The following is a 10,756-nucleotide window of genomic DNA, read 5'->3' as shown; positions in this document are numbered from 1 at the left end:
TACCAGAAATCTAGATTTTTCTTCACAAAAAGATATAAGGATACTCTAGTGGTATTTAAAAATGCCAAACAAGGCCGGACACGGTGGCTCACGCCTGTAATCCCAGCACTTTGGGAGGCCGAGGCGGGCAGATCACGAGGTCAGGAGATCGAGACCATCCTGGTTAAAATGGTGAAACCCCGTCTCTACTAAAAATACAAAAAATTAGCCGGGCATGGTGGTGGGTGCCTGTAGTCCCAGCTACTTGGGTGGCTGAGGCAGGAGAATGGCGTGAACCTGGGAGGCAGAGCTTGCAGTGAGCTGAGATCGCACCACTGCACTCCAGCATGGGCGACACAGCGAGACTCCATCTCTAAACAAACAAACAAACAAACAAAAAAACCACACACACACACAAAAACTAAGGCCAAACAATGGATATAATATTTGGAACCTAGAAAAAGTTGTTATTGTTTGAGAAATAATCTTCTGGAGGAGTGAAAATGGTGGGCAAGTAATATAACTGATTTACTGAAACATTCTGTGATAAACACTCAGGATCTGACAGGTTGAGGAATGATCAAGGGCCCTGAAACCTGTCCTTAGATTTCTTCTATGTGATACCCATACCCTTAGAAGGTTGGCAAGTATAACACAGAGCTAAGGCCTTAACACACTTTGGTTCCATCAGGTCTTTGAAACTCTGTGGCTAGCACTGAATGCAGAACACATTTTTATCTTCCTGGTTAATATATTAAAAATACGCTGTTCATAGGAAATACTGCCATATTGCTATGGCAATACATAGGGAGTGGCCACCATACATGCCAAACAGCTAGCAATTCCCTCCCCTGCTCCCCTGCTCGTCTTTGTATCTTCAAACAAGTCACCTTAAATATAAAGATTTAATGTGTGTACGTGGGCTTTTTTTCTTTTCTTATGAAATAATGATAGATTTATAGGAGGTTGCAAAGAAATGTCCAGGAAATTCTCATGTACCTTTTTCTCAGCCTCCTAAATATTAGCATCATACACAACTGTAAAATAATATCAAAACCAAGAAATTGACACTGGTCCAATCCATACAGTTTAATCAGATTTCACCAGTTACATATGCACTTGTGTGTGTGTGTGTGTGTAACTTTATACACTTTTACCACATCCATAGCCTTGCATAACCACCACCACAATCAAGAGACTATACTACCATCACCACAAGACTCCCTAGAGCTATCCCTCTACAGCCACATTCATCCTCTCTCCATATCTCTAACCTCTGACAATCCCTAATCTGTTCTTCATCTCTGTAATTATGTTATTTTTTTGGATGTTACATAAATAGAACTATGTCGTATGCACCATTTTTGAGACTGGCTTTTTTTTTTTTTTCACTCAGCATAATTTCCTTGAGGTTCTTCCAAGTTGTTGCCTGTGTGAAAGGTTTGTTCCATTTTATGGCTGGATCGTATTCCATGGTATGGATGTCCCATAGGTTCTTTAACCATTCACCATTACAGGACATTTGGGTAGTTCCTAGTGTTGGGCTGTTATGAATGAAGGTGCTGGGAGTCAGTCTTCATTTTCTCTGGTACACCATGAGTGACACCACGAGTGCCCTTGCTGGATCATAGGATGAGTCCATGCTTAGTTTCAAAAGGAACAGCTGGGTGCTTCTCCAGAGTGGATGCAGTCTTTTAAGAGAGAAAATACTCTTTCAGAAGTACTGACTTTACCGAAGAAGTCTCCCACATTTCTCTAAATAAATCTTTTTTTTTTTTTTTGAGACAGAGTTTTGCTCTTGTCGCTCAGCTGGAGTGCAATGGCGCGATCTCAGCTCACTGCAACCTCCGCTTCCCAGGTTCAAGCAATTCTCTTGCCTCAGCCTCCGGAGTAGCTAGGATTACAGGCGCCCGCCACCACGCCCAGCTAATTTTTGTATAAATAAATCAATTTTTAAAAGAAAAGGGAAATACAATTATTTTCTTAAAATGTTGAGTTTGAATATACTGTATTTTAAATTTTATTTGGAACTCAGACATTTTATTTTTCTAATATCTCTGTCATGATTCAGATGTTGTCAAAAAGCAGTTGATCCTGTGTAGTTTGTGATTTCACGGCATGCTAAACATAACAGAATGGTGGAGGTGGTCGTGAGTGATAATGGCTCAGAGATAAAAATAATTGTTTATAGGGTACTTTGGTTAAAAGAATCATGAAAACAATATTTTCAAAGATTTAGAAGACAACATAATTGTCTCTTTTTGCCCACTGAATTCTAAATGATTTGCTCATGTTCTCTCATGATTCAGTAGCACAACACCTTCACATAGTCGAATTGTGGCTGCTGCTAGCCTCAACACCCTCTTTTTCTTTTTTCTTTCTTTTTCTTTTCTTTTTTTAAATAGATACAGTGTCTTGCTATGTTGCCCAGGCTGGTCTCGAACTCCTGGGCTCAAGTGTTCCTCCTGCCTCAGCCTCTCAAATTGCTGGGCACAATTTGCTGGGCACAATTATAAGTGTGAGCCACCACACCCACCTTCAACCCTGTCTCAAGACTAAAAAATAGGCCGGGCTCGGTGGCTCATGCCTGTAATCCCAGCACTTTGGGAGGCCGAGGTGGGCGGATCACGAGGTCAGGAGATCGAGACCATCCTGGCTAACACGGTGAAATTCCGTCTCTACTAAAAATACAAAAAATTATTAGCCTGGCGTGGTGGCGGGCGCCTGTAGTCCCAGCTACTCGAGAGGCTGAGGCAGGAGAATGGCGTGAACCCGGCAGGTGGAGCTTGCAGTGAGCCGAGATTGCGCCACTGCACTCCAGCCTGGGCAACAAAGCGAGACTCCATCTCAAAAAAAAAAAAAAAAAAAAAAGACTAAAAAATAATGAAGGCGGGAATGAAGGAAGTGGAATGTTTAATATAGCTCAGAAATATAGACATTAATGAGACAAGTAGAGGATAGGTTTGGGAAATAGAGTATTCAGCATAATTGAACCTGTTTCTGGTTCTCTTGTGTTTTTATTCTTTAAGTTTAAACTTTAAAAGTTCTGTTCAGCTTCTCACTTCCTTTGACCCTGTCTCCTTGTTACTTTTCCTCTGCCCTGGAAATCATAACTAACTGAAAAGTAAGCTTTTCCCTTCATTGGCTCATCACTGGCAAGCTATTTTAATGTAAATATCACCTTAAACTCAAAAATTTGATAATTTTGAAGGTCTCCATGCTTCTTTTCAAACCTTCATTCACTTTCTCTTATCTCTTCCACAGGGAAGGGTATCAATTTACTTCTAAGAATTCCCCAAAAGGAACAAATGGAAAATAGAATTTTATCTGCTTCATTTGCAATGTCACAAGTATGGATCATTTTCATAAAATTCATCTCATACCCCTGGGATGAAAGAGTTGATGAGGTAATGTGCAGAGAACCTTCATTGGCAATTCTGAGATCAGATGTGCAGTTTTCAATAATCAATTATTTGTAGATTATTTTCAACTCTACTAATGTTTCTTATGCATCTGAGGAAGACAAAAATATTTGCTGTGTGGAAGCTGGAAGGAGGAAGCCTAGGATGTGGAGAACATGTATCAAGCCTGAAAATGGGCCTATTTTTGTTTTTTTACTATTTAACCAAAATTTGAACCAATCAGAAAATTACAGAAAAATTGAAAGTATAGTTTAAATAAACCTTTTCCCCTGAACTGTTTGAGAATAAGTTGCCAGCATGCGGGTCCATCACCCTGAAATAGTTTGTATTTCCTACAAAGACACTTATCTATAAAACCATAATACAATCATAAAAGTTAGGCAGTAAACACTGATACATTACTATCATCTAATTCACAGAGCCATTCAAGTTGACAGTTGTTTCAATAATGTCCTTTATAGCGAAAGGATTCAATCCAGGATTATGCACTGCTTGTAGCTGTCATGTTTCTTTTTTGTTTCGTTTGAGACAGGGTCTCACTTTGTCACTGAGGCTGGAGTGCAGTGGGGTGATCTTGGCTCATGGCAGCCTCGACCTCCTGGGTTCAAGCAATCCTCCTGCCCCAGCCCCCCCCAAGTAGCTGGGAATACAGGCATGCACCACCACACCCTGCTAATTTTTGTTTATTTTTTAGAGATGGGGTTTTGCCATGTTGCCCAGGCTGGTCTCGAACTCCTGAGCTTAAGTGATCCGCCTGCTTCGGCCTCCCAAAGTGCTGGGATTGCAGGTGTGAGCCACCGCGCCCAGCCTCATGTCTCTTTTGTCTTTGATCTAGTACAGTTACTCAGTCTTTCCTCAGATCTCATCCCTTAGCACATTTGAAAGTTCCAAGCTAGCTATTCTGTAGGATGACCTGCCATTTTAGTTTGTCTGGTGTTTTATCATGATTAGATCCAGATTATGCATCTTTGGCAGGAACATCACAGAAGTGATACTATTGCGTCCTCTCATTGCATCCTATCATGTGAAGTAAGATTTTTTAAAGAAATAGATTTTGTTTTTTAGGTTCACAGCAAAATTGAGCGGAAGGTACAGAGTTCACATATATCCCCTGCCTTACACATGCATAGCCTTCCCCCGTTATCAACCTCCCCCGCCAGAGTGCTACATTTGTTACAACTGAGGCCCACATTGATGCATCATCACCTAAAGTCCACAGTTTATATTAGGGTCCAGTCTTGGTGTGGTACATTCTGTGAGTTTGGACAAACGCATAATGACATGCACCCATAATTATAGTGTCATACAGAATAGTTTCACTGCCCTGAAAAAACCCTGTGCTCTGTCTGCTCATCCTTCCCTCTCCCCTAACCCCTAGTGCCCACCGATCTTTTTACTGTCTCCATAGTTTAGGCAAGATTATCATTTGTCCCAGTATTGATGATGGGCTTTTCTTTTTTTTTTTTTTTTTGAGATGGAGTTTCATTCTTGATGCCCAGGCTGGAGTGCAGTGGTGTGATCTCGGCTCACTGCAACCTCCGTCTCCTGGATTCAAGCAATTCTCCTGCCTCAGCCTCCCGAGTAGCTGGGATTACAGGCGTCTGCCAACATGCTCAGCTAATTTTTGTATTTTTAGTAGAGAGGGGGTTTCACCATGTTGGACAGGCCGGTCTCCAACTCCTGACCTCAGGTGATCCACCTGCCTTGGCCTCCCAAAGTGCTGGGATTACAGGCGTGAGCCACCACGCCCAGCTGATGGTGTGCAGTTTGATGACTTAATTAAGGTGATGTCTGCAAGGCTTCTCAACTGAAAGTTACTCTCTGACCTTTGAAAAAAATAAATATTTGGGGGGAGCTACTTTAAAACGATGTAAACATCTTGTTCCTCATCAAACTTTCAATTTATGTATTTATTTTATTTATATTTATATGCGTTCCTATTTTATTCAAATGGTTATAGTTCATGGTTCTCATTTTTTAATTTAATTTTTTTAACTTATTTTAAGTTCAGGGGTACATGTGCAGGTTTGTGACATAGGTATACTTGTGTCATGGAGGTTTCTTGTACAGATTAATTAATCACTCAGGTATTAAGCCTAGTACCCATTAGCTATTTTTCCTGATCCTCTCCCTCCTCCCACCCTCCACCCTCCATTAGGCCCCAGTGTATGTTGTTCCCCTCTATGTGTCCATGAGTTCTCATCATTTAGCTCCTACTTATAAGTGAGAACATCCAGTATTTGGTTTTCTGTTCCTGTGTTAGTTTGCTAAGGATAATGGCCTCCAGCTCCATCCGTGTCCCTGCAAAGGACATGGTCTCATTATTTTTTATGGCTGCATAGTATTCCATGGTGTGCATGTATTACATTTTCTTTATTCAGTCTATCATTGATGGGCATTTAGGGTGATTCCATGTCTTTGCTATTGTGAATAGTGCTGCGATGAACATACATGTGCATATGTCTTTATAATAGAATGATTTCTGTTCCTTCGAGTATATACCCAGTAATGGTATTGCTGGGTCAAATGGTATTTCTGTTTTTAGGTCTTTGAGGAATCACCACACCATCTTCCACAATGGCTGAACTAATTTACACTCCCACCAACAGTGCATAAGTGCTTTTTCACTTGTGTGTAACTTGTGTGTAAAAGGAGCACTTCAGTGTATAAGTGCTCCTTTTTCCTTGCCAGCATCTGTTATTCTTTGACTTTGTAATAATAGTGTGGTGTGAGATGGTATCTCATTGTGGTTTTGATTTGCTTTTCTGTAATGATCAGTGATGCTGAGCTTTTTTTCATGGATTCTTGGTGCATGTATGTCTTCTCTTGAAAAGTGTCCGTTCTTGTCCTTTGCCCACTTTTTAATGGAGTTGTTTTTTTCTTGTAAATTTGTTTAAGTTCCATATAGATGCTGGCTATTAGATCTTATTTATTTTTATGCTTAAATTGTCTCCTATTTGGCCAGTGGAAGCCCATCCAACTGGGCCACAATGTCTTCATCAGTCTTTGAGCACAACCTCGTTTTTTGGTTAGATGGTAAGATGTTCCCGGTTCACCTTGTATTTTCCATGCCCCAGCTCTGGAATCAGCCATTTCTCCAAGATATTTTATTCTTTGTTTGTTTGTTTTTGTTTGAGACAGGGTCTCATTCCATCACCCAGGCTGGGGTGCAGCAACGTGATCAGGGTTCACTGCAGCCTCGACCTCCTGGGCTCAATCTTCCCACCTCAGCCTCCCAAGTAGCTGGGACTACAGGTGTGCACCACCATGCTCAGATAATTTTTTATTTATTTTTTGTAGAGACAGGGACTCACTATATTGCCCAGGATGGTCTCAAACTCCTGGGCTCAAGTGATCCTCCCCACTTTGGCCTCCCAAAGTGAAGATCATTCTTTTTTTTTTTGTAAAAATTGGTATTTAGAAGCCAAGACCTGGACATGAGGTGTGTTTATTGCTATTCTCAGGCTGGCTCAGTTCAGAGTTAAGGAATATCTGTTGGTCTGTATCTGTCTACCTAAGGAATATCTGTTGGTCTATATCTGTCTACTTATCTTTCTATACACACACACGCACATATTTGCATATGTATTTATTAATCTATTATCTCTATCTTGAAAACCGTGAGTTTACAACAATATGCCGAATTCCAATTCAACACCACGGGGGTCATCCTTGTTTTTTCCTCTGCTGTATTTGTAACTTCCTTCTCCAACAGTGAAAACCTTGTCTTTCATTTTCCTTAAGATAATTACTAGTTTGATCAATCTTCTATGGAAACAATCTCCAATTTCTGCTACCACACCCACTCCGGCCCAGATGCCCATGTTTTCCTGCTTGGCTCTCACTCTCCTTTCCAGGCAGTTCTCCGTCGTGGATGGCCTCCTTGCAACGCTTGGGCTCTGAAAGCCCACACCATGCACAGGGGTGCTGTCCTCTCCCTCCCTGGGCCCTGGCTAACTAGCCACTGCAGGCTGTCCCCTGGACAGGCACCTTCCCCATCGTGCCCAGGCTCTAATCCCCCAGGTGCTGGGCTGTTCTCAGGTGTGGATATCTCCCTCATCCTACTCAGGCTCTGACAGTCCGGGCCAGGCTGCCGTGCTGTGTGGACGCTGTCCTTACTCTGATGGGGGTCTGAGACCCTGTGCCAGGTCACCCACCCTGTAGCCCACCCTCTTCACCCTGCTTGGACTCCAATACCCCACATTGGGTCACCATGAGTCCTCTCGACACCACTGTGGATGCCATCCTTCCTATACACTACCTAATGGCTTTAGGCCTGAATTATTAAGGAAGGGGCTGGGTATGGTGGCTCACGCCTATAATCGCAGCACTTTGGGAGGCTGAGGCAGGCAGATCACCTGAGGTCAGGAGTTGGAGACCAGCCTGGCCAACATGGTGAAACCGCGTCTCTACTAAAAATACAAAAATTAGCCAGACTTGGTGGTGGGCACCTGTAATCCCAGCTACTCGGGAGGCTGAGACAGGAGAATCTCTTGAACCCGGCAGGTGGAGGTTGCAGTGAGCAGAGATCATGTCACTGACTCCAGCCTGGGTGACAGAGAAAGACTCAGTTAAAAAAAAAATTATTATTATTAAGGAAGGGAAATGATTTTTAAAAATAAACTTTAAATTATTTAAGTACTATCTATGTTTTGAGTAGATTTTTTTTCATGTCTTTGAGCTACCTTAGCTCTGAGAACATAGTGGCGATCTCACACACACACACACACACACACACACACACACACGTGTTAGAATGAATTGAATCACTGTCCCTTTTTGGACCATATCATAATTCGGCCGTGTCTGGTACTGCTGATAAACATATACGCCAGTTTGTTTGTTTTTTGAGATGGAGTTTTGCTCTTGTTGCCCAGGCTGGAGTGCAATGGTGTGATTTCGGCTTACTGCAACCTCTGCCCCCCAGGTTCAAGTGATTCTCCTGCCTCAGCCTCCCAAGTAGCTGGGATTACAGGAGCGCACCAACACGTCCGGCTAATTTTTGTATTTTTAGTAGAGACAGGGTTTCACCACCTTGGCCAGGCTGGTCTCGAACTCCTGACTTCAGGTGATCCACCCGCCATGGCCTCCCAAAGTGCTAGGATTACAGGCATGAGCCACCGCGCCCGGCCCACACCAGTTTTTAATTAGTGCTTCTCATCTACAAATCCAGTCTTCATTACCTGCTCAGTCAACGTGGACATGAGCCTTTTTCTCCTTCGCCAGTCTGCACAGTGCTAATTTTGTCGGTAGAGGGTGCTGGAGACATTGCAGAAGGAAGGGGAGAGGCACTCTGCTGCGGGTTCTGAGCGTCCCCGCCCACTACTGATTAGCTGGGCCATTTCTCAGGGTTGTGTTTGCAGCGAGAAATCTCCAGGACAAAGAGCAGGATAGCCTACCACTTACTATAAAAGCAGTGGATTTCCCAAGCTCCGTGGATTTCCACCTGGGATCCTCTGTCTTGTTCCTGTGGGAATTGAAGGGCACAGGGAAGTGACCCCAACACGATATTCCTACTGCTTTCTGTGCCTTCAGTAATAAAATCCTTTTCCTTCAACCCATGGATGTCTTCTGCCAGCATCCATGAAACCATAACAGGTCAGCTTATTAGCTCCAGTAGGGCAAAAGCAAATCTCAGATCCTGATAACCAGCCAATCCTTTCTGAGTCCAATCCTCTGTTATGGGACATGATTATTTATTTAAAATCTTCCCTGTTCAGATTACCCTGTGATTTCTGTCTCCCAACTGGACTCTGTCTGATACATCACAGCAGCAGACGCATCCTCCTTAGGTGGCTATTCATAGTCCTTAGAATTGTAAAGCATTTGGCTCCCTTCAATGACATGAAACTTCTAATAATGGGTTTATGACTTCCTGCTAATGGCTCATGCTCTCATTTCCATTCATGACTGCTCCACTCAGCATCCCTGCTCTCTGCTTTATTGACAGCAACAGCCCTCTGCACCCAAGTCATTAACTATGCCATCCTTTCTAAAATGCCCTTCTTTTGTCCTTTCACAGAACATATTTAAAAAGAAAATAGAAAGGCACTTATGAAACCTCTCTGTGTGTGTATCCATTCAGGCACACCATAGGCAGAATTATATAGCCTGTTTCTACTCACTAAAAGTAAAAACTTAAAATGTAGCACAGATGTGGTGAGGATGTATCTTGGCATCAAGTATGTATCATCCTGTGTAATGTAGACAGCTTAAACTCACCTCCATGTAGCAATCTTGCAAAGATTTTTTAAAAGGCTCTAAGGTCATACAGATCTGGTTGGTTTTGAAATTTGGCTCTGACATTTACTAGCTAGTTTGCGTATCATTAACTGGGAATAGTCATATCTACTTCATACAGCTGTTGTAAAAATTAAATGAGTTAACATACATATGAAATGCTTACTTAGTACAGTGTCTGTCACATATCAAGTTGACTCAACCTCCCTATGTTAAAATAATCAAATGAACAAGTCTAAAGCAATTTAATAAAATATGAATTTTTAACTCAATTTCACTTAGGTGCCTCCACAGCTAAGATAGTCCCTAATTGTTTTCAGACCCAGAGAAAACTTTCTCAGAGGCTCTTAGAGACTTTCTCAGGGTGGCCCTGACATGTGGAGCTCAGGCCCTCATTCCTCGGTCTTTCACCCCATGCTCTCTTCTTTCAATTACTTTCTTATCATTGGAAGCTTTACCTTGGCTTACCATTTTCTTTGCTAGTATTTGCTACCATTTTCTTTGTAGTTTTTTCCCTCATTCTCATCCTCTCGGAGGCCTCATATTCTAGGTGACGGAAGAATGATCCCCCATGCACAGGTTGGAAATGTTTTCTGTAAATGTCAAGAAAAAGATATAGTCGCTGTCACAGCTATTCAACTTTGTTGTCATAACACAAAAGCTGCTACAGACATCAACAAATGAGCATGTCTGTGTTCCAATAAAACTTTATTTATAAAAACAAATAGCAGACAGAGTTGACCTGTGGGCTGTAGTTTGCTGACTATAGAGCTATAGTTTCTAGGTCTTTTGACCTAGAATGCTGAGGTATAATATTATATTGGGCATTTTTCTCTATCTTTGTCCTTCAGAAAGGTGCTCATTTAAATATGTATTTGTTTGGGAACTTTGCCTTACTACAGATAAAAAATTTTTTTTTAATTAAAAACTTTTTTTTTTTTTTTTAGGAAATGGGGTCTTGCTATGTTGTCCAGGCTGGTTTTGAACTCCTGGCCTCAAGCAATCCTCCTGCCTCAGCCTCCCAAAGCACTTGGGTTACAGGTGTGAGTCATACAGATGAAACCCTTAATTTTAAGTATATTCCTTATGCCAATAATACTTATCACATTTTTATC

At 42.0% G+C, this 10,756-nt stretch overlaps 1 protein-coding gene across 14 annotated transcripts in view, besides 2 other annotated features; it reads right to left on the bottom strand.

The window, feature by feature from the left end:
• Nucleotides 1-1,053: 1,053 nt before the first annotated feature.
• The window catches only part of KLHL5 (kelch like family member 5), a 98,275-nt gene continuing 88,572 nt past the window's right edge, over nt 1,054-10,756 (bottom strand). For 6 of the 14 annotated variants that reach the window (XM_047415754.1, XM_047415749.1, XM_047415752.1 and 3 more), the window contains 2 exons: nt 10,100-10,234; nt 1,054-8,868 (listed from right to left, as the gene is read on the bottom strand). Coding sequence is in view for 9 of the 14 variants with exons in the window: in XM_047415752.1 (XP_047271708.1) it covers nt 10,181-10,234 (54 nt within the window). In the remaining 5 variants the exon portion in view is untranslated. Of the gene's footprint in view, nt 10,235-10,756 lie in introns of all 14 variants that reach the window. The other 8 variants (XM_011513700.3, XM_047415753.1, XM_047415758.1 and 5 more) reach the window with 4 other exon arrangements.
• Nucleotides 2,683-2,877: a silencer, noted in NCBI's record as "fragment chr4:39142898-39143092 (GRCh37/hg19 assembly coordinates)". NCBI's record gives its function as "represses an EF-1alpha promoter that drives an FKBP-Casp9 reporter gene in an ReSE screen in K562 erythroleukemia cells {active_cell/tissue: K562}" and the evidence as "EXISTENCE:reporter gene assay evidence [ECO:0000049][PMID:32094911]".
• Nucleotides 8,544-8,593: a silencer, noted in NCBI's record as "silent region_15367". NCBI's record gives its function as "represses an Ori minimal core promoter by ATAC-STARR-seq in GM12878 lymphoblastoid cells {active_cell/tissue: GM12878}" and the evidence as "EXISTENCE:reporter gene assay evidence [ECO:0000049][PMID:35858748]".

Source organism: Homo sapiens, chromosome 4, assembly GCF_000001405.40.
Source record: "Homo sapiens chromosome 4, GRCh38.p14 Primary Assembly".
Classification (NCBI taxonomy): domain Eukaryota; kingdom Metazoa; phylum Chordata; class Mammalia; order Primates; family Hominidae; genus Homo; species Homo sapiens.
The sequence above is the reverse complement of the archived record's forward strand: the minus strand, read 5'-3'. Positions and strand labels throughout refer to the sequence as shown.